Source organism: Homo sapiens, chromosome 17 (assembly GCF_000001405.40).
Source record: "Homo sapiens chromosome 17, GRCh38.p14 Primary Assembly".
In the NCBI taxonomy this organism is placed as follows: domain Eukaryota; kingdom Metazoa; phylum Chordata; class Mammalia; order Primates; family Hominidae; genus Homo; species Homo sapiens.
This window is the reverse complement of record NC_000017.11, coordinates 29,656,029-29,679,432: the sequence shown is the minus strand read 5'-3', so window position 1 is coordinate 29,679,432 and position 23,404 is coordinate 29,656,029. Positions and strand designations below refer to the sequence as shown.

At 42.0% G+C, this 23,404-nt stretch overlaps 1 protein-coding gene across 15 annotated transcripts in view, besides 4 other annotated features; it reads left to right on the top strand.

Moving 5' to 3' along the window:
- The window catches only part of SSH2 (slingshot protein phosphatase 2), a 304,291-nt gene that overhangs the window by 250,796 nt on the left and 30,091 nt on the right, over positions 1 to 23,404 (top strand). For 12 of the 15 annotated variants that reach the window (XM_047436967.1, XM_005258058.4, XM_047436968.1 and 9 more), the window contains 5 exons: positions 1,692 to 1,760; positions 2,548 to 2,613; positions 7,304 to 7,498; positions 12,210 to 12,303; positions 12,438 to 12,566. In XM_047436967.1, the coding sequence (XP_047292923.1) occupies positions 1,692 to 1,760; positions 2,548 to 2,613; positions 7,304 to 7,498; positions 12,210 to 12,303; positions 12,438 to 12,566 (553 nt within the window). Of the gene's footprint in view, positions 1 to 1,691; positions 1,761 to 2,547; positions 2,614 to 5,273; positions 5,595 to 7,303; positions 7,499 to 12,209; positions 12,304 to 12,437; positions 12,567 to 23,404 lie in introns of those variants that run through there. The other 3 variants (XM_047436971.1, NM_001282130.2, NM_001282131.2) reach the window with 1 other exon arrangement.
- Positions 4,855 to 5,055: a silencer, noted in NCBI's record as "peak2783 fragment used in MPRA reporter construct". NCBI's record gives its function as "represses an SCP1 promoter by STARR-seq MPRAs in K562 erythroleukemia cells {active_cell/tissue: K562}" and the evidence as "EXISTENCE:reporter gene assay evidence [ECO:0000049][PMID:32103011]".
- Positions 9,577 to 11,749: an enhancer, noted in NCBI's record as "VISTA enhancer hs1675". NCBI's record gives its function as "enhancer in: heart[8/10]" and the evidence as "EXISTENCE:transgenic organism evidence [ECO:0001131][PMID:17130149]".
- Positions 15,908 to 16,202: an enhancer, noted in NCBI's record as "tiled region #7669; HepG2 Activating DNase unmatched - State 6:EnhF". NCBI's record gives its function as "activates a minimal TATA promoter and a strong SV40 promoter by Sharpr-MPRA in HepG2 cells {active_cell/tissue: HepG2}" and the evidence as "EXISTENCE:reporter gene assay evidence [ECO:0000049][PMID:27701403]".
- Positions 15,908 to 16,202: a silencer, noted in NCBI's record as "tiled region #7669; K562 Repressive DNase unmatched - State 5:Enh". NCBI's record gives its function as "represses a minimal TATA promoter and a strong SV40 promoter by Sharpr-MPRA in K562 cells {active_cell/tissue: K562}" and the evidence as "EXISTENCE:reporter gene assay evidence [ECO:0000049][PMID:27701403]".

The window sequence follows — 23,404 nt, the reverse complement described above, 5'->3', positions numbered from 1 at the left end:
TCCATCTTAAAAATAAAAAAAAAAATAAAAATAAATTTTAAAAAAAGATTATACAGTTAGTGCAAGAAACCAGGTTCCAGAGCCCATAATCATACTGTGAACCCAGGTTCCAGAGCTCTTAACCATACTGTGCTTTTCCACAGTATGGTTATGCCAGATTCTTTCTAGTACACCATGCTTCCGCTCTAGATAGATTGGCATGGAGCATCATGGAAGCCTTTCGGAGACTAGCCAGAGTGGGAAAGCAGTTACAGCAGCGTTAAGGAGAGATAGTGGCAGTAGCCTAGGGTAGGTTACTGTTTCCCAGAGAAGAGATGTGATAGAGCATACAATCAGGGGTCCATGGCTTTCTGTACGAACCTCTTCCATTAACTTAAAGCCCTTCCTGGGCTAATGTGAGATTGAAATAGCATTTTAGGCCGGGTGCAGTGGCTCATGCCTGTAATCCCAACACTTTGGGAGGCTGAGACGGGTGGATCACTCTGAGGCCAGGAGTTTGAGACCAGCCTAGTCAACATGGCAAAAACTCATCTCTGCTAAAAATACAAAAATTAGCCGGGCATGGTGGCACATGCATATAATCCCAGCTACTCGGGAGGCTGAGGCAGGAAAATCACTTGAATCCAGGAGGTGGAGGTTGCAGTGAGCCAAGATTATGCCACTGTCCTCCAGCCTGGGCAACAGAGGGAGACTCTGTCTCAAAAAAAAAAAAAAAAAAAGAAATAGTATTTTTAAATACCATACTAGGGCTACCCTTTTCTTGGTTGTTGACATTTCTATTAACTGTGTTTCAGCAGTGCTAGTTCAGTGCACAGTCACAAAGCAGTGTTTCATTGATTTAAGTTTTGTTATGTCTATTTTGCCTATCTTGATCACAAACTATTAACAATTACTTCTTTACATTTTTTAATTCCCTTTGCCTTTTAGACTATTGAGTGTGTTCTGGTGTTAAGTAAATCTATGTAAACCTCAGAATTAGAGGCAAATAACACATCCCAAGCTCTCCAGCAACCAGCAATAGTTATTGGCATTAAAAATAATCCTTGGGACTGGGCACCATGGCTCATGCCCGTAATCCCAGCACTTCGGGAGGCTGAGGTGGGTGGATCAGGACTTCGAGACTAGCCTGGCCAACATGGTGAAACCCCATCTCTACTAAAAGTACAGAAAAATTAGCCAGGTGTGGTGGCGCTCGCCTGTAATCCCAGCTACTGGGGAGGCTAAGGCAGGGGAATTGCTTGAACCTGGGAGGCAGAGGTTTCAGTGAGCTGAGACTGCACCACTGCACTCCAGCCTGGGCAACAGAGTAAGACTCCATCTCAAAAAAAAAAAAAAAAAATCCTTGGAGTCGAGGTGGACACTGTACTATGTGCTAAGACCTGCCAAATGCAAGTCAGCAGCAATCATCTGCATTTTTTAGATAGTGGCCATTTGCAAGATGACAATGTAGGAAGCTGAGTCAGTAAGTTTTCTTCATTAAATATTTAAGGAACTGACTGACTATCTCTTTAAAACAGCTCCTGAGGACATACATAAGATTAATAATAATATGATAGAAATTTCTTCATTGTAACACTTATGCCAGAATTTAGAATTTAAGGGTTTATCCTTGGTGTTGAAAGAGTTAGTAAACAGAAGACTGCTTCCCAGAGTAATGGGGAGTAACTATTGGACTACTTCTTGTCTTGCAGTAGCACTTGTACCATGGGCTTAGTTTTGCCTCTCTGGAGCGACACGCTAATTCATTTGGATGGTGATGGGTAAGAGATTTCCTTTTTTATTCTGTTACAGAAAGCCAAGGGGTGGGGCTCCATCTTACTGCACATTCATTCAGCTAAAAGGGAGGCCCAGTGTGCCAACTGAACTTTCATGTCAACAGCTGAATGAGTCCTTTTAAACTCCTGTTTTGTAAAGTGGAGTAAAAATACAACTTGCCAGGGTCTCTCACTTCTGTTCTTCTAGGCCGACTGTGGTAGGAATCAAGACAAAGAAGAACTAGTTTGTTGGCTCTTTAATCTGAGTATGTGGGACTGTTGCAATGCTCTCCCAAAGGATGATATGTTCTGTTTCAAATAACCTCTTGCTGCCTCTGCCAGCTGTCAGCCTACAGTATAACCCCTTTCCTGTGCCAGTTCCTTCCAGTGACCCCACCCCCACCCTACCTCCTAATGTTTTTAGAATGTGTCCCCAAGAGACCAAGATGTTTGCTCCAGTTTATAAAACCAGGGTCAGGTTTGCTAAGAACCCACAAGACTTCCAAATAGAAATATACAGAACAGTTTGTCCATAGCTACAGCTGGGAAACTGTATTGAATTCTCTAACTCCAATATAGGAATCCATTCATTTTGCCTGGTAGATGAAGTCAGACAATTTGTCAAAGCTTTTTGGTCAAGTCTTACACTCTAGTTAAAACTTCTACGTGAAATGCCTGATGATTCCCTCTACGGAGCCAGTTGTTTTTAGCCTGGGATACATCCATGAAAACTCACAATTCAAATAACCTACCCTAATTTGTGGATTTTTGTCTTGTTCTCATTTGTCCTTAGTGGGTTCAGTGTATCGACGGATAACAGAGTTCACATATTCAAACCTGTATCTGTGCAGGCAATGTGGTAAGATGACTTTTACTATCTCTACAAAAGTGTTTTAATGTTATTGGAGGAATATTTTGTAAGAAATGTTTGAAATGGTACAGTTTGCTATGAAAATGCTAAATGATCTGTTTGTATAACCATCGTAGTTAAAGATGACCTAGAAATGCAATATTCAAATTGTTGCAATTGGAAGGCCTTGAGTATTGGTGAACAAGTGAAATTCAGAGGAATTCAGAGGTGTTATTCTTAGGCTCTGGCAGAGACTTAACGGTTTAGATAAGCCAGTTGATACCGAGTTTTATTAGGGACATATTGACTAAGTTAGTTAGTGGACTAAGAGCCAAATCTAGAACATCACATTGCTATGCATTAGCTATTTCTTTTTTTTCTTTTTTTTTTTTTGAGACGAAGCCTCACTCTGTTGCCCAGGCTGGAGTGCAGTGGCGCGATCTCGGCTCACTGCAACCTCCGCCTCCCGGGTTCAGGCGATTCTCCTGCGTCAGCCTCCTGAGTAGCTGGGACTACAGGCATGTGCCACCACGCCTGGCTAATTTTTTTGTATTTTTTAGTAGAGACAGGGTTTCACCATATTGGCTGGGCTGGTCTTGAACTCCTGACCCCGCCTTGGCCTCCCGAAGTGCTGGGATTACAGGCGTAGCCACTGCGCCTGGCCTGCATTAGCTATTTCCTAAGGTAACCAGGGATAGCATTCGTTACTTTATGGATAAATAAATTTCCATTTAAACTGCTGGTGGCTATTTGCATAATGCAAATAAAGCCTAGAGAAAACATTATACTTGCTAATAACCATCAGCTGGCATATGGACATTTCAGGGCTATTTACTACATGCCAGATGCTTTGCATGGATTATATTTAATCATCATACCAAGCCCCCAAAATAATATTATTAGCCCCTTATTATGGGTGAGAAAACATGCTTTGGATGGGTTACATAACTGCCCTGAGAGTATTTCTTACATTTAGACAGGATAGATCTCTCTCTCTCTCTCATATCTCTCTCTCTCTCTCCTTTAAAGAGACAGGGTCTCCCTCTGTCGCCCAGGCTGGAGTGCAGTGGTGCAATCATAGCTTATGGCAGCCTCCAACTCCTGGGCTCGAGTGTTCTTCCTACCTCAGCCTCCTAAGCAGCTATGACTACAGGCATGTGCCACTACACCTGGCTAATTTTTTTTTTAATTTTTTTTGTGGAGACGGGGGTCTCTCTGTGTTGCCCAGGCTGGTCTTGAACTCCTGGCCTCAAGCCGTCCTCCTGCCTTGGCCTCCCAAAGTGCTGAGATTGCAGGTGTGAGCCACTGCACCTGGCCTCTTATTCTCTTATTTTAGATTATCTAGAAAATTATCTAATACAACCAGAGAATGATGTGACTAAGATTCAGAATCCATTCCCCAGTCAGGGATTTGAATTTCAGTTTCCTATTCAGCTGCCTGTTAGGTAGTAGAAGTCCCCATGGGGAGCGGAATGGATAGAATGCAAGCAAAACAAGAAATAAAAGAGCCTGAAAAAGACCCCAGGGAGATAATCTACCCCTGAAAACAGAATTGATAGGATGGAGGTGGGTGGAATCCAAAGACTCACTGAAAAATTAAGTCTTATCATTTCCTGCAGTGATTGAGATAGGACAGTTTCAGGTCATGTGTTTAGACCAGATTTTTAGAGTTAGGGCATATTTTGCAGGTAAGTTTCTCATGGAAAACAGGAAATTTATGACCCCCTTTGACTAAGGCTCAGTTAAAGACAATTGACTTATCTATTCCTAAGTAACAAGTAAAACCAAACAGCAGTAACAACGATAAATGACAGCATTTTCAGGTATATTTTGGGGAAGAGTACAGAGCAGTCTTAATTCAAGTAATAACCTTAAATCAAGCTTTGATGTTCTAAAGCAAGCTTGTCCAACCCGTGGCCCATAGGCCACATGCAGCCCAGGATGGCTTTGCATGCGGCCCAACACAAATTCATAAAACTTTCCTAAAATTCTAATCCAAATTCATAAAACTTTCCTAAAATATGATGAGATTTTTTTGCATTTTTTTTTAAGCTCATCAGCTATCATTACGGTATTTTGTGTGTGGCCCAAGACAGTTCTTCCGATGTGGCCCAGGGAAGCCAAAAAATTGGACACCCCTGTAAAAGTAAATTGACTGGTCCTAGCTCTTATTGCAAAATAAACTTTTCTTGATATACCTTATGGGGAGTAGTGAGTTGAAGTCACAGGGGGAAAAAAATAGATGATGTGTGGATCAAAGCAACATTTAGACCAGGTGTTTCCTTCACAGGAAGATAGTTACTGCAGCCTCCCACTCTGATGCAGCTGGAGTATCTGAGGTGGCTAGGCCTTGAGTGTATTTTAGGACCGTTGCACCAGACTCTGTGGCATATGCTTTTGGAGCATGTGTTTCCTAGATGAAGAAACATGCATTAGGCATCCTGTAAGTTACACTAAGCTGGCTCTTACCTTTGAATCTGTGTAATGAAACTGAAATTCTCAGATTATTCTCTTGAGACTTTGGCTTACTTTGAGTAATATAAAGCATTTTTAAAAGACTCTGCAACTTTGTTTTTAAGGAAAAATGTGTTTTCCTAATAAAAATGGACTGACACATTTTCCTCTGATTAAATTGGTTTAAATTTGTTTTCTTAATTTACATTGTATAGGGTTGACAGGGATTCAAGGAACAAACACTGTGATGTACTATTGGTGGAAGAATGAACTGGAGCAGCCTTTCTGGAGAGTGATTTGCCAATATGCCTTATCATTTTGCATGATCTTTGTCCTAGTAACTCTATTTCTATGGATTTACTCTAAGTTTGTAAACATGGATGTGTGCAAAGATTTTAGCTCTAAGAATGTTTGTCAGTGTTCTAATAATAGCAAAAAATAAAAAACAAATGATTGAAAAATAGAATTAGTAAATTATGGTACATCTATATCATTAAATATTATGCAACCATTAAAAATGATCCAGTTGAAAAATATTTGACATGGAAAGATGTTGATGATAGGCTGTAAAGCAAAAGAGCAAGTTATAGATGATATGGAGAATATGGTCATATCTTTGTTTATTATACATCTATGCATAGCCAAAAAGACTGGAAAGATCTACGCTAAAATCTTAACAGTGGTTATTTCAGGGTGGTAGGATTACAAGATATTTCTGCCTTTTCTGTGAGGTCCCTAATTTTCTAAAGTAGGCATGGATCACTTTTGCTATGAGGGAAACAAAAATACTTTTTTTTTTTTTTTTGAGATTGTGTCTCACTCTGTCACCCAGGCTGGAGTGCAGTGGCACCATCTCAGCTAACTACAGCCTCCGTCTCCCAGGTTCAAGCGATTCTCCCTCCTCAGCCTCCCGAGTACCTAGGACTACAGGCATGTGCCACCGTTCCCAGCTAATCCTTGTATTTTTAGTAGAGATGGGGTTTCACCATGTTGGTTAGGCTGATCTCGATCTCCTGACCTCAAGTGATCCACCCACCTTGGCCTCCCAAAGTGCTAGGATTACAGGCGTGAGCCACCGTGCCTGGCCATAATGTCTTTTTTTCTTAGGGAGACATTAGTTTATAGCTAATGACATTTCACTCAACAAATACTAATTGAGCTCCACTTGTGAACTAGGTATTCTTTTAGTCACTTGGGTAAACAAAATGTAGAAAAGTTCTTGCTCTTGTATAACTTCCTAGTATTTCTACCTTAAGCTTTTCCCACATATATAATGAAAAACATACTTTTCTGTTTGTTTACTCTTCTTGGGTTCCTGAGTTCAGACAGAGCCAGAAGGTTTAATTAGTCTCAGAATTACCAGAGCTAGGCCAGGCACGGTGGCTCACGCCTGTAATCCCAGCATTTTTGGAGGCCAAGACAGGCAGATGTCTTGAGGCCAGGAGTTTGAGACCAGCCTGACCAACATGGCAAAAACCCGTCTCGACTAAAAATACAAAAATCAGCCCGGTGTAGTGGCATGCACCTGTAATCCCAGCTACTACTCGGGAGGCTGAGGCATGAGAATCACTTGAACCCAGGAGGTGGAGGTTGCAGTGAGCAGAGATCACACCACTGCACTCCAGCCTCTGTGACAGAGTGAGTCACTGTCTCAACAAAAAAGAATAACCAGATCTGTTCTTAGAAAGTAGCTCATGGATTTAAAGAGACTAGGAGACTAAGGCAGCAGGAATAATAAATATCATTAGATCAACACTTCCTGGACATTAAAGGACATGTCCTCAAGGCTTAGGGACATCTATCTATGTGATCTTTGTGAAGCCTGTTAAGAATTACAGAAAATATATGCTGTAACATCCTGTGCTGAGGGAAACAAATCTTTATATGGCAAATTATTCAGATCTTTAGTTTTCTAATGATACGGCAGTCACTGCATGGTCCCAACTATAGGATCATGTGCTCCATAGGTACCTGGACCTATTTTTCACTGGTGAGTTGTCAGCTGTCCTTCCCCGCCTTCTCCCTACCTTAATGATGCATCATATCTTTCAGCAAATGTCTTGTCCATTGCTGTGGATAGATAATATGGTATAATCAGAATTGGAGAATCTTGACTTTCAAGGAGTAGATTGTCCAGAGGACAAATTCTATAGAATTTAAAAATTAGAAGAGTTTGGAGTACACAGGTTATTGGCCTTTGGCACCCCACAGTTCTATGGTGCTCATTTCCCAGCATGTCTTTCAGGTCTGCACTACAGAGCTTACACAAGGCTTGTGAAGTCGCCAGAGCGCATAACTACTACCCAGGCAGCCTATTTCTCACTTGGGTGAGTTATTATGAGAGCCATATCAACTCAGATCAATCCTCAGTCAATGAATGGAATGCAATGCAAGATGTACAGTCCCACCGGCCCGACTCTCCAGCTCTCTTCACCGACATGTAAGTCAGTTTGCTAAGGATTATGGAAGTTCTCTCCATTATGTCCTGAGGAGTCATAAGAAGCATGTTCCTCCCTAATCTTTTCTCTTGGGGAGTTAATCTTACCTAGGAATATTAGTCATTGTGAATAGCACGTGTCTGCCACATATGAAGAATCCTATTCTTGCTGTTGCCTGCAAAGGCCTGAGAAGCTTCACCCCAAGGCACAATAGAGTCTCCATAGTCAAAAACTTCAATACGATAAAATTTCATTATTCAGATTCCATTAATTTGAAATTTGAGTTTAAAGGAGTTGGGCTGAAGTTTGAGTTTGCATTATCTGAAAGAATCATTTTAGTAAGCATATTAGTGATATAAAGAAGCTTTCAAAGTCATGTTTGTAATACTTAAAACAAGATGTTTCCAGTCAACTTAAAAGAATGCCTTAACTAATAAGCTAATTTTTTTTTTTAAGAGACAGGATCTCACTCTGTCACCCAGGCTGGAGTGCAGTGGCACAATCATAGCTCACTGCAGCCTCAAACTCCTGGGTGAAGTGATCCTCTCACTTCAGCCTGCAAAGTACCTGGGACTACAGGCATGTGCCACCACACCTGGCTAATTTTTAAATTTTTATTTTTTTAGAGATAGGGTCTCACTATGTTGCCCAGGCTGGTCTTAAACTCCTGGCCTCAGTCCTCCTGCCTCGGCCTACCAAAGTGCTGGGATTACAAGTGTGAGCCACTACGCCCAGCCTGCTAATTTTTAACTTAAAAAATTTTTTTTAAATATTTTATCATTCAGATGTCATTCTGCTCTACCTTTGCCTTGTTAAGTCCTTGTCAGTACAATTTAATTAAATCTCCCTAGTGTACTGTGAGTTAGATAAAGGCCTAAGGTAAAGCTGATGTTTATTTCCTTTTTAGGTCTATGTGTTGAAACTTCTGTGACTATTTTGGAAATTTTTTTACACTTAGTGCCTGCTTTGTAAATTCGTCATGATGTTTCTTTTGCTCTAATTTGATCTTTCTGCACTTCCAAGGTATTCTACAGCAGGGAAAGAAGAGTAGCTAGTTACTGTCTGACCTTCAGGATTCTCCTTTAGATTCCTAAAGTCATGCCAAAACAGTTCATGGTTTTTGGGTTTTTTTTAACAGAGTAATTTATTTTATTTTAGTTTTTGAGACCAAGTCTCACTCTGTCGCCCAGGCTGGAATGCCGTGGCATGATCTTGGCTTACTACAATCTCTGCCTCCCGGGTTCAAGCAATTCTCCTGCCTCAGCCTCCCGAGTAGCTGGGATTACAGGCGCATGCCACCACGGCCAGCTAATTTTTGTAGTTTTAGTAGTGACGGGGTTTCACCATGTTGACCAGGCTGGTCTCTGCCTGCCTCGGCCTCCCAAAGTGCTGGGATTACAGGCGTAGCCACCACACCTGCCCTAAAAAATGCTCTTTACTAGAAAAGGTGAACTTTCCAAAAATTGTATGAAAGGAACAGTCAAAAAAGCAGTGGAATCTTTTTTTGCACAGGATGTTTTTGCTGCTAGGACCTTCTTTTTAGTAGCCTTGGTCTTTTCAAGATCTCACAGTAATTGAAAAGATAAAGGTTCATGGGAAATGTTACTGGTGATTTCATGCTTTACAGCTGGATGATGGGTTTCAGAGAAATGGATGTCTCATCTAGCTCAAAAAAGCACATTCTAAACCAGACTTAGATGAGAGAGAGGTAACTTTTCTTCCCATTTTTCCCATATTTTATTAGAGACAGTCGGGCGTGGTGGGTGGTGGCTCATGCCTGTAATCTCAGCACTTTGGGAGGCCAAGGCAGGTAGATCACCTGAGGTCAGGAGTTCGAGACCAGCCTGGCCAACATGGTGAAACCCCGTCTCTACTAAAAATAGAAAAATTAGCCAGGCATGGTGGCAGGCGCCTGTAATCCCAGCTACTCAGGAGGCTGAGGCAGGAGAACCACTTGAATCCAAGAGGTGGAGGTTGCAGTGAGCCGAGATCACACCACTGCACTCCAGCCTGGGCGACAGAGGGAGACTCAGTCTCAAAAAAAAAAAAAAAAAAGATTTTATTAGAGAAGATTTTGATACTACACAACAAACAAGAAGAGAGGAAGAAAGATATTGCTCTTACTCTCTTTACATCCCTAAGCAAAAAACATAAAGGCAGTCCCTGGCAAATGATAGAGGCTTATTAACTGTTAGTTCTTAGTATGTATAATAATAACCCTAATTTTGAGATATATCTTAAGAACTTCTGTCTGTTTACGGAAAAAGAATACATGAAAGCTGTAGGCCAGAGTGTTAATAATTATCTCTGGGTAGAGGGATTTTCAGTGGTTTTTATTTACTTTATATTTTTATGTATTTTCCAAATTTTTCTCCAATGAAATTGAGGAGGAAAAAGCAGATTTGTGTGTTGTAATGCTTTTTCCATTCCTCCTCCTCCCTAAACTGACTAGAAAAGCTTATAAAACAAAGCTGAGAATACAGGGAGAATGTGTGCCAAAATGGACTGAAATACTCTGCTGTGAATAATTTATATTTTGAAATCTAAGGAAAGGAGGAAGAAGGGAATATACATATATGGGATACACATCTGGTGTTATGCCCAGCACTTCATACATGTTGTTTAATCCTCATAAGAATATTATGAGACAGGTATTATTGCTCTACTCTTTTTTTCTTTTTTTTTTGAGACGGAGTCTCACTGTTGTCGGCCCAGGCTGGAGTGCAATGGCACTATCTCGGCTCACTGCAACCTCCACCTCCCGGGCTCCAGCAATTCTCCTGCCTCAGCCTCCCAAGTAGCTAAGATTACAGGCACCCACCACCATGCCCGGCTAATTTTTGTATTTTTAGTAGAGACGGGGTTTCACCATGTTGGCTAGGCTGGTCTCGAACTCTTAACCTCAGGTGATCCACCTGCCTCAGCCTCCCAAAGTGCTGGGATTATAGGTGTGAGCTACCACACCCGGCCTGCTCTACTCATTTTATAGAAAAGGAAACAGAGGCTCAGGGAAGAGAAGGAACTTGTTAGAAGTCACACCACCAATAGCAGGGCTGGGATTAAAACCTAGGTCTTTCTACTCCCCAACCACTCTGCCTCAAACACTTGTGAGGGATTGAGGGGAAAATTGCTTAGGAACTAGGGAATCTGACCCATGAACACAGGTACTAAAATTTGTTTTTACCTTTTTGTTTTTCCTTGAGACAGAGTCTTGCTCCGTTACCCAGGCTGGAGTGCAGTGGTACAATCAGGGCTCACTGCAGCCTCCACCTCTGGGGCTCAAGCAGTCCTCCCACCTCAGCCTCCCAAGTAGCTGTGGGACTACAGCTGTGTGTCACTATGCCTGGCTAATTTTTTATTTTTATTTTTTGTAGATACGCGGTTTTGCCAATTGCCTGGGCTAGTCTCAAACTCTTAAGCTCAAGCAGTCCACCCACCTCGGCCTCCCAAAGTGCTGGGATTACATGCATTAACCACTGTGCCTGGCCCAATATTTATTTTTAATGGAAGACTGAAATTATACATTTATTTTCTACCATTAGCTATGTCTAGGACAAATAAAGCATGGATAAGAATTTTAATCCTAGTTAAGACAGGAATACCTTGGCTGGTTGAAGAGAAACAGCTCAGGTATTAGCTGTATTCTGTAGGGTTCATGAGAAATTAAGAGTCCAAGTGGTGGGAAGCCCCAAGGTTGTGGGGTTGGAGCATCCATCTTTGGAGATTACCAAAGCTATTTTTGCAACCAGTGATAAGGCTGTAGGCAGCAAGGGCAGGCAGGATGCCTGAAAGCTTAGTCCATTTTCATCTCCAAATAAGGAGGTGCAGAGCCAGATACCTTTCTTGAGTAGGTGGTGGGAGTTGGGGAGGAGATGAAACAAAGTACTCTCTGTCAACCTCATTCAAATTCTGCATAATCTGAAATAATGCTTTAGAGGAGGAGTATCCAGTTACATTGAACCACTACCTTTCTAATAATTGGAGAGTCAGCTACCTAGTTTGATTTCATATTAAAGTTCCAAGGGTGATTTTATTTTTAAGAGAGTCAGAAGACTAAAGGAAGTGACATAATCCTTCAGGTAGAGCATTAGGCTAGGCTGAGCGTTGTAGTTCTCCTGCCCCAGCATGGTTATCAGCATGTCATTTAGCTTTTCAGTTGTTTGTTTCCTCTCCCTATAGAAAAGGATAAGTGTTTCACAGAGATATTGTGAGAGTTGTCATTAAAAGGAAAGCATTCTGGATGGAAGGGCTCTTAAGTCAGCAGTCCCCAGCCTTTTTGGCACCAGAGACCAGTTTCCACAGACGGAGCAGTGGAGTGGGGATGGTTTCATGATGAAACTGTTTCACCTCAGATCATCAGGCGTTAGTTAGCTTCTCATAAGGAGCACACAACCTTGATCCCTCACATGTGCAGTTCACAATAGGGTTTGCGCTCCTATGAGAATCTAATGCTGCCACTGATCTGACAGGAGGCGGAGTTCAGGCAGTAATGCTTGCCCGCTGCTCACCTCCTGTTCTGCTGCCCGGCTTCTAACAGGCCACTGACCGGTACTCACTGGGGACCCACGCTCTAAGTTGTTGATCTCTAGAACCGATTTTGGAAAAGGATTTGCCTTATTGAAGAAGACAGGATCATTCTTCTTTCTTTCCCATTTAAGAATAATCGTTATTAAGAATATCGTTTAAGAATAATCGTTATTTCTCTCTTCTCAGACCTACTGAACGTGAACGAACAGAAAGGCTAATTAAAACCAAATTAAGGGAGATCATGATGCAGAAGGATTTGGAGAATATTACATCCAAAGAGGTAAGAGACCTTGAGTCCTTGTTTGTTCCAAGGCTAGCAGTGGGATAACAGTAGGTGTGGGGCTGGAAATAGTGCATGGTTGAAAGTACAGAGGGACTTTAAGAGATGGGTCCAATATATCATCTTTGTTTCAGATAAGAACAGAGTTGGAAATGCAAATGGTGTGCAACTTGCGGGAATTCAAGGAATTTATAGACAATGAAATGATAGTGATCCTTGGTCAAATGGATAGCCCTACACAGATATTTGAGCATGTGTTCCTGGTAAGTTTTAAAGCCACTTTAAGTGGTGTGCTAACGCTAGCCCATATGGACTCATGGGCAGGGGTAATTATTAAATTTTATTATACATAAATAAAATGTAACTTACTTTAAAGACAAAAGTGATAAGTACTCAAACCTCATCACTTCCTAATTATTTTATTACTTTTAGTGTGTGTGTGCGTGTGTGTGACAGTCTCGCTCTGTCGCCCAGGCTGGAGTGCGGTGGCACGATCTCGTCTCACTACAATCTCTGCCTCGCGGGTTCAAGCAATTCTCCTGCCTCAGCCTCCCGAGTAGCTGGGACTACAGGTGCATACCACCACACCCAGCTAATTTTTGTATTTTTAGTAGAGACGGGGTTTTGCCATCTTGGCCACGTTGGTCTTGAACTCCTGACCTCAGGTGATCTGCCCGCCTTGGCCTCTCAAAGTGCTGGGATTATAAGCATGAGCCACCATGCCTGGCCCTCATTTTTAATTTTATTTTTATTTTTGAAACAGGGTCTCGCTCTGTTGCCCAGCCTGGAGTGTAGTAGCACAGTCTCAGCTCAGTGCAACCTCAGCCTCGCAGGCTCAAGTGATTCTCCCTTCTCAGCCTCCTGAGTAGCTGGGACCACAAGCGTGTGCCACCAGCCCCCAGCTAATTTTTGTATTTTTTGTGGAGATGGGGTTTTACCATGTTTCCCAGGGTGGTCTCGAACTCCTGAGCTCAAGCAATCCACTCACCTAGTCCTTCCCAAAGTGCTGGGATTACAGGCATGAGCCATCGCACCTGGCCCCAAATTACCGGCATGAGCCATCGCGCCTGGCCCCAAATAGGATGATCCTTTAAGATCACTCTCAAATCTGCCAAATGTGTCTAAGTTCTGATATATCTGAGCAGAGCTGGTGGGAGCTACTATATAACTGAGAGACAAGAGACTACTGGACTTTCAAACATATGAAACCTTGTAGCTACACTTTGAGTCCCTACTTTTATGATTACCAAAAAATTGGTGACTAAAAATTGTTCTTCATGGTTCCTGAACATTTAGTGACCTTTTGTAATTAGCCCAAGGAGACCTCTCTGACAGGTAGATTTTGAAAGCTTCTAAAGTCTATTTTTCTCTCAAGTGTTAGAGTTTTAGTTCTTATCTGTACATTTAGTGGGAACAAAGTTAACAAGAATAATTAAAATCAATGGAGAATGCCAAAACCTCATTTTGTGTCCACTTCCCACACACTTTCACCAAAAATGCTTACAAGGAAGTAAATCAGTTGGTTTGAATTTCACTTCCTTTCTCTTCTTGAGGACGTTTATGAACTGTGAAATGATTAGAAGCTGGGAAACAGAAGAGAAGGAGAATAAATGCTCAGGAACTGACTAAACTGGATCCACCTCACTCTGAATATTCAAGAGTTTATTTCATGAGGCACTCAGACTATGCCTTTGAAGGCTTGTGCCCTGAAATAACTTGTTGACACTCTAGGATATATGTGTCTAGAGTGATTCATAGTGGTATATTAGCTATGAAATTACTCATGAAAAGCTGTGAGTTGGGAGGGGGACTTCTTTTCCATTACTTTAACTGACCAGTATGTGTTGGCATTTCTGGTTGTAGATCATACTGCAAAACTGTCATTGGCTTTTCCATTTGCAAGACACCTGGCTTTGTTGTCTCTTACATATACTTCCACAAGGATTCAGATATATCCTGCTCTTGTATTATTGGAAAGAATCTTTGTGTTATCTATAGAAAACTTGTGAGTCACTCGTTCTATGGGGCCCTCCCAACTGTTTCCCTGAGACTAATTTTTATGAAGGACAAATATCTGTAGTCAAAAGGAGCTCATGTGACTGAAGCTGCAAACTTGAAAGTCAAGTTTCCCATTGAGCTTGACTTTTAACACGTAAAAGAATATAGACATGATAAATATGAAATACAGTCAGATTCTGACTGATCAACCTGTTTTATTTCATGCATGCTTCCCTGTGTCTCTGGTGCCACCCACTCAAGAACTACTCCTCAAATGGTATATTTTAGGCCATGCAAGCAAATTTTAATAGTATTGTAAGCAGAAAAAACAATCTAATTTCCCCAAAATTACATTTCTCTAATCAACTACAAATGCATTTGAGCATTTGTGCCAGTAGATTAATACCATGATTTCATTATTGTCAGGTATAATCTTCTGTCTTGAGTTTTTTTCTTATTAAAAAAATAATTCTGGCCAGGTGTGGTGGCTCACACCTATAATCCCAGCACTTGGGGTGGCCAAAGCAGGAGAATCACCTGAGCCTGGGAGTTTGAGGCTGCGGTGAGCCATGATCATGCCACTGCACTCCACCCTGAGCAACAAAGAGAGAGCCTGTCTAAAAATAATGATAATCCATGTTCATTTTTAAAAATTTTAGAAGACAACAGATTATCATATTTATTTAATCATCAAGACTGATAATCACCATCATCTTTTATTATATAATATTGCCTTCCAATCTTTTTTTTTTTTTTTTGGAGACGGAGTCTCGCTCTGTCGCCCAGGCTGGAGTGCAATGGCATGATCTCAGCTCACTGCAACCTCCACCTCCCAGGTTCACACGATTCACCTGCCTCAGCCTCCCAAGTAGCTGGGATTAAAGGCACACACTACCACGCCTGGCTAATTTTTTGTGTTTTTAGTAGAGACGGGATTTCATTATGTCGGCCAGACTGGCCTTGAACTCCTGATCCTCCCGCCTCAGCCTCCCAAAGTGCCGGGATTACAGGCATGAGCCATCGCGCCCAGCCCCAATCTTTTTTACTTTTATTTATAGATGTACATATATATTTTTGTGTATACACACACAGATATGATACATTGTCTTTATTTTTTTAAAGAGTAGTTTTAGGTTCACAGCAAAATTGAGCAAAAGGTATAGAGATTTCCCATATACAACTTATCCCAACACATGCATAGTTTCCCCCATTGTCAACATCCTCCACCAGAGTGGAGTGTAACAAATGAGTGTAACATTTGTTACAGCACATTATTCTACATTGGCACATCATTGTAAACTAAAGTCCATAGTTTACAATAGGGTTCACTCTTGGTGTTGTACGTTATATGGATTTGGACAAATTTGTTGTCTGTATTCACTATTAGAGTATCACATAGAAGTTTTTACTTTTTAAATACACATCTGTGTACTTGTTTTGCACATCAGCATTGTGTATATATGTACATATTTTTGAACAAAGGAAAATCTCTTCAGCTTCAGGTATAATTCTGTATTCTAGAAAATGGACATTTTCTTTCTATTGTGAATATTTATTTGGGGGAAAAAAAACTTCAAAATTGAGGATCTCTGTAATTTAAATCCTACTTAACAAAGTAAATGCATGAACAGGTTGTCTAAACATCTTATTATACTTGTTCCTTGGTGGCTTCCTCCCTTTGTTTACACTGCCATATCCTATGTCCAACTCCCTATCTCTTCTCCATTGAGTCTTTGCCCTGCTGGCTTTCCTAGCAGTTGACACGGAAAAAGAGGCATTCTAGCTGCAAGTGGTGGTGTTGATTTTCTGCAGAGTCATCTCATCTTGCATAGCTGCCATGCCTGGAGCTCAACCAGATTGAGTAAAGAGAGGCAACAGGATTTCTCCTTCCCTTTGGAAGAATGCTCAGTTCTGCAGTGTACTGCACAGAGATCTGTTTATTAGGGAAAGTATCCAGCTGGTATGGAGTGGGAAAGTGTAGATTATAGCTTAAATAAAAGCTGCATTGAGAAGAGAGAATTGATTGGTGGGAAGCCAGGGTGTTTCTAGAAAAAGAGATTCTACACCCTTACAAGCATATCACTTCTCTGAGCTGGAAGCCTTTGCCCAACTAAGTTTCAGTATCATCAGCTCTCCTGGAGGCTGTCCGATTTGGCTGAGAAAAAGCTAGATGTTGATAGAGACCCTTTGCAGAAAAGCAGGCAAACAAGTATATTGGACACATAACCAATAATTTTGCTCATGAATTTGAAAAATAGAACTTTTACTGCTGATTATCTTTTTCAAGATTTGACATTACAAGATTTGACATCTTTTGGGAAAGTGTTTCCTTTTCATAAAAAAATTCAGCCTAGGGAGAGGATCAGGAAAAAATAGCTAATGAGTACTAGGCTTAATACCTGGGTGATGAAATAATCTGTACAACAAACCCCCATGACACAAGTTTACCTATGTAACAAACCTGCATATGTACCCCTGAACTTAAAAGTTAAAAAAAAATCCTCAAATTGGTTACTTTTAATGTAGATGAAGAGAAACAGAGGGTGTGTAAATAGGTGAGACAGTAATAGAAAGGATTATTTTATCACATTCATGATTTTTGTCCCTGAATGTGATAAATTCAGGAGGTGTGGCATAAATTTCTCTTAGAAGGAAAAGTTAATAAACAGCTTATGCCTGGTTGCCACAGTAATGTGACTTACAGTATTGAGGCTATAGGAATGATATGATAAAATATGGACAGAGATACCAGTCCTTGGATATTATGTCAAGTTATATTTATCTTAGCAGAACTCCCACAGTACAGTCCTTATTTGCTATAAATGTGCTGTAGTCTTCTATTTTCCTTGGACATTTGGACTCCAGCAAGGCTATTTCCTGAGGATAGCATGAAAAGAAATCAGTTACTTGGGTCTTTGGGCCAGCGTACAGTGCAAGGGAACCAGAGTAAAAGATGGAAATGAACTTACTTTAAAATGTATTATAGTCCAAAGGTTTCATTTTACACTTCAGTAAAATTAGAATATGCTTTGCATAATTACATAGAACATAATGGAAACCCTGGTAGAATTACGTCACCATAAGCCTATGAAGCATGGGCGGGGGGGAAATTGGGTCTGCAAAGAGCCCCGGAAGTCTAATATACATGGCATTTGTATTGAGTACAGAAAAGTAATTATACCAAGTGGTCTCTAGGTCTTTCAAACTGAACCTGAAGCAGCCCTAAGTGTAGCCCAAGTCCCTTTGTATGGGCTTCAGTGAGTCAGTAACCAGTGCCTTTAATTTATTTGCCAATGGATAGGTATCACTTCACATTGTCAGGTTGAACTCTCTCTGGACAGGTAGATGAAAACTAGGGACTTTATCCATCGTGTCAATGTTATTTTCATCTAACTGGACAGAGTTCCACGAAGGATTTAGATTTCTAAATTAAGAAGTGAGGTGGTCACATTTCGCTGGCTCCAGTTTAACTTCTCAGCCCCTATTGTTTGGCATCTGTCTCCTTGAAGTCCTTTGTAGTTCTTGGCTATTTCTTTGGTGCAGAAGCTTGTTTTCTAAGGTTGAGCAGAGCCTTCAGAGCCTCCCATATTTTTTTAAAACAAGCCAGCAGGGCTCTTGCCTGTACATCACCACTGACCTTTTCCTAAATGGAACTTCAGCACAGTGTCCTTGAGCTTTCCCAGTTCAACGGCCAGATTACAGATCACCTGTAATATGATAGTACTTACACAACACTTAACAATTTTCACAGTGCTTCATTTACTGGTCACATTTGATCTTCCAATTAACAAACGTTTGTCTATCCTCTTTATTGTGTGAGGTATGAGACTAGGTATTTGTACAGTCTGATCTAATTCTAGAAGGAGAGCATGATGAGCCATATCAGATAGATACTCAGAGAAGGCCAATGGAATAAGGATACAGTGGTGATAAGACAATTAGGAGAGGTCATTAGTAACATCAGCGAGAGTGATGAGGGCAGAGGCCCAAGTGCTATGGATGAGATACGTGGGAAATGAGGAAATAGAGAAAATGAGTATTTGCTTTTCTTTTTTTTTTTTTTTTTTTTTGAGATGGAATTTCACTCTTTTTGCCCAGGCTGGAGTGCAATGGTGCTATCTCGGCTCACTGCAACCTCTGCCTCTTGGGTTCAAGTGATTCTCATACCTCAGCCGCCCAAGTAGCTGGGATTACAGGCACGCACGCACCACCATACCAGGCTAATTTTTGTATTTTTAGTAAAGTTGGAGTTTCACCATGTTGGCCAGGCTGGTCTCAAACTCCTGACCTCAGGTGATCTGCCCACCTCAGCCTCCCAAAGTGCTAGGACTACAGGCATGAGCCACTGCACCCATCCAGAAAGTGAGTATTTGACTTTATTTCTATGAAGTCATGAAGGAAAGGGAGAAAGGACAGAGTCTGCAGGAGGATTTATGAGAGAGAGAGGGGTTTTCCATTTTAATATGGGAAAAACTTTGCATGTATAATTTGAGGGAAATGTACCCATTAAATATATACTACTGGGGTGGGAAGGGGTTTTCATTTTACAGATAAAGACAGAGAGGTTGGCCAGGCACAGTGGCTCATGCCTGTAATCCCAACACTTTGGGAGGCTGAAGCGGGCAGATCACAAGGTCAAGAGATGGACACCATCCTAGCCAACATGGTGAAACTCCATCTCTACTAAAAATACAAAAATTAGCTGAATGTGGTGGCGCACACCTGTAGTCCCAGCTACTCGGGAGGCTGAGGCAGGAGAATCGCTTGAACCTGGGAGGCAGAGGTTGCGGTGAGCTGAGATTGCACCACTGCACTCCAGCCTGGCGACAGAGCGAGACTGCAATCTAAAAAAAAAAAAAAAAGGAGAGGTTAGGCAGTTGGCCCTAATGTCCCCACCCACAGTAGGAAGGGCAGTCAGAACTTGAACCTAAGTCTTCTAATGCTAAATTCCATTAATGCCTCTAATTCTGAAAGAGTAAACTCTTATTATAAAATGTCTGCCCTGACCAGGCGTGGTGGCTCACGCCTGTAATCCCAGCACTTTGGGAGGCCAAGGCAGGCAGATCACGAGGTCAGGAAATTGAGACCATCCTGGCCAACATGGTGAAACCCATCTCTACTAAAAATACAAAAATTAGCTGGGTATGATGGTGCGTGCCTGTAATCCCAGCTACTCGGGAGGCTGAGGCAGAAGAATCACTTGAACCCAGGAGGTGGAGATTGCAGTGAGCCAAGATCACGTCACTGCACTCCACCTTGGCGATAGAGCGAGACTCCGTCTCAAAAAATATATATAAAATGTCTGGCCAGGCGCAGTGGCTCACGCCTGTAATCCCAGCACTTTGGGAGGCCAAGGCAGGCAGATCACAAGGTCAGGAGATCTAGACCATCCTGGCTAACACGGTGAAACCCCGTCTCTACTAAAAATACAAAAAACAAAATTAGCCGGGCATGGTGGCATGCGCCTGTAGTCCCAGCTACTCGAGAAGCTGAGGCAGGAGAATGGCATGAACCCGGGAGGTGGAGCTTGCAGTGATCCGAGATGGTGCCACTGCACTCCAGCCTAGGTGACAGAGCAAGTCTCGTCTCAAAAATAAAATAAAATAAAATGTCTGCCTTTTCAGAAGATATGAACAGATAGCTCAAAGATAGAAAATAGATCTTAAACAATGAAAAGTTGCTCACTTTTACTTCTAAGAGAAATGCAAATTGAAACTACACTGAGACACCTATCAGACTGGCAAAAATTCAAAAGCTTAACCACAGTTTATTGGAGAGGCTGTGGGGAAAGTGGTGCTCTGATGCATTGCTGGTGGGACCACAGAATTGTTTCAGCCTCTACGGAAGGAAATTTTGCAGTGTTTAACAAAAGTGTATCCTGCCTTTGACCTAGCAAACCTGCTTCCACAAATAAGAAATATCATTCATAGGAGACTAGTTGAATAAACTATTATATCAGTACTCATGAAGTACTATGCAGATGTAGGAAAAAATAAGATCTCTATGAACTGTTACATTTAGTGGTTTTGAGGATATATAAAATGAAATATATGTAAAATGAAAGCAATTAATAAAAAATTATGTGTAGCATATTAGTAAGAATTGGTAATATGAGTAAGAAGTAGCAATAAGCATATGTTTGCTTATATTTTTTCAAAATAGAGTAAATCAGAAACTAATGAAAATGTCACCAATAGGAATTAAAGAGATAGGAGTGAGAGTGAGACCTCTTAGTTTACTTTTTTTTTTTTTTTTTTTTTTTTTGAGACGGAGTTTCGCTTCTGTTGCCCAGGCTGGAGTGCAATGGCACAATCTTGGCTCACCACAACCTCCACCTCCCAGGTTCAAGTGATTCTCCTGCCTCAGCCTCCCAAGTAGCTATGATTACAGGCATGCGTCACCACACCTGGCTAATTTTGTATTTTTAGTAGAGACGGGGTTTCTCCATGGTGGTCAGGCTGGTCTGTAACTCCCAACCTCAGGTGATCCGTCTGCCTCGGCCTCCAGAGTGTTGGGATTACAGACGTGAGCCACTGCACCCAGCCTCTAAGTTTACTTTTTAATAAGCTTTTGACTTTTAATCACATAAAAGTTTTGTATGCCCAAAATATTAAATGGGAAAGAATAGAAAAAGCACTCTAAAATTGAATACAAGCCAGGTATGGTGGCATGCACTTGTAGTCCCAGGTACTCAGGAGGCTGAGGCAGGAAGATCACTTGAGGCCAGAAGTTCAAGGCTATAGCGCACAATGATAGCACCTGTGAATAGCCACTGAGCTCCAGCCTGGGCATCATAACGAGACCCACCTCTTAAAAAAGAAAATACAGCTGGGCACAATGGCTCATGCCTGTCTGTAATCCCAGCACTTTGGGAGGCCGAGGTGGGCAGATCATGAGGTCATGAATTCGAGACCAGCCTGACCAACATGGAGAAACCCCATCTCTACTAAAAATACCAAAACTAGCTGGGTGTGGTGGTGCGCACCTGTAATCCCAGCTACTCAGGAGGCTGAGGAAGGAGAATCAGTTGAACCCAGGAGGCAGAGGTTGCGGTGAGCCGAGATTGTGCCATTGCACTCCAGCCTGGGCAACAGAGTGAAACTCTGTCTCAAAAAAAAAAAAAAAATACAGATTGTGGGGAATTCTCCAAGATAACAGATGTGGAGTCTACAAAAATGTCGATATGTCAATATTATGAAAGACCCCCTCCCACACTCCCAAAGAAAGCAGAAGATGTACTGTTCTAGATTAAAGCTAGGCTGGGTGTGGTGGTTCACTCCTGCAATCCCAAATTTTGGGAGGCCAAGGTGGGGAGGATCACTTGAGGCCAAGAGTTTGAGACCAGCCTGGGCAACATAGTGAGACCCCATCTCTAAGAAACAAAAGTAAAAAAATTAGCAAGGCATGGTGCTGCCCACCTGTAGTCTCAGCTACTCGGGAGGCTGAGGCAGGAGGATGGTTTGAGCCCAGGAGTTCAAGGCTGCAGTGTGCCACTGCACTCCAGCCTAGGCAACAGAGCAAGACTCTGTCTCTAAAAAAAAAAAAAAAAAAAAAAAACAAAGTAGCCGGGCACAGTGGCTCACACCTGTAATCCCAGCCCTTTGGGAGGCCGAGGCAGGCGGATCACCTGAGGTCAGGAGTTTGAGACCAGCCTGACCAACATGGTGAAATCTCGTCTTTACTAAATACAAAAAATTAGCTGGGCATGGTGGCAGGCACCTGTAATCCCAGCTACTCGGGTGGCTGAGGCAGGAGAATCGCTTGAACCCCAGAGGAGGAGGTTGCAGTGAGCCGAGATTGTGCCATTGCACTCCAGCCTGGGCAACAAGAGTGAAACTCCCGTCTCAAAAAGAAAAAAGAAAGTAGGCTGGGCACAGTGCCTCACGCCTGTAATCCCCGCACTTTGGGAGGCCGAGGCAGGCGGATCACTTGAGGTCAGGAGTTCAAGACCAGCCTGGGCAACATGGTGAAACCCTGTCTCTACTAAAAATACAAAAATCAGCTGGGCATGGTGATGCATGCCTATAATCCCAGCTACTCAGGAGGCTGAGGCAGGAGAGTCACTTGAACCCTGGCAGTGGAGGTTACAGTGAGTCAGGATCATACCACTGCCCTGTAGCCTGGGTGACTCTGTCTCAAAAGAAAAAAAAGTGTAGCTAGAGGATAGAGACATGACAACTAAATGTGAAGAATTATCCTTGATTGAGTAAATATAAAGGACATTTTGGGGACATTTGTAGAAATTCAAATATGTATAGTGTATCAGGTTATTGTGTTAATGTTACATTTCTTTGGTATGATCATATTATGTAAGAAAATGTTCTTAGATGATACATGCTCAAGTATTGAATAAAGTGTCATGGTGCACAAAATGCTCTCAGATGGTTCAGGGGGAAAAAGTATGATATGTACTAAAAGAAAAGGGAAAGAAGGAAAGAAAGCAAATATGGCAAAATATTAATAATTGTGTCCTCCAGATCATCAGCAGAACCTCTTCCCCCAAAGTTTGCCATTTATCCCTATCTTAAAATTTTACATATAATGTTTCCCTCATTTGTTTGACAGAAGCTGCTATTTCAGTGTCTTCTCCTGCCACACACAAGTTCTGTCCTTTAACTCCTTAGATGCAACTTAATGCACTAAAAAGAGTGTGAGCGGCCCTGCGCGGTGTCTCACACCTGTAATCCCAGCACTTTGGGAGGCTGAGGCGGGTGGATCACGAGGTCAGGAGTTTGAGACCAGCATGACCAGCATGGTGAAACCCTGCCTCTACTAAAAAATACAAAAATCAGCTGGGCATGGTGGCGCGCACCTGTAATCCCAGCTACTCAGGAGGCTGAGGCAGGAGAATTGCTGGAACCCGGGAGGCAGAGGTTGCAGTGAACCGAGATCACGCCATTGCATTCCAGCCTGGGTGATGGAGCAAGACGCTGTCTCAGAAAAAAAAGAGTGTGAGCTTTGGAATAAGGTGTAGTTCAATGCATAATAATGCTGCTTTTGTTATCTGTAAAAATTCAGCAAATGTTTATTGAGCACCTGCCAGGTGCCAGGCACTGTGCAAGGTGCGTGGGTTTCCATAGGGAAGAAAAGAGCTGGTTCCCGA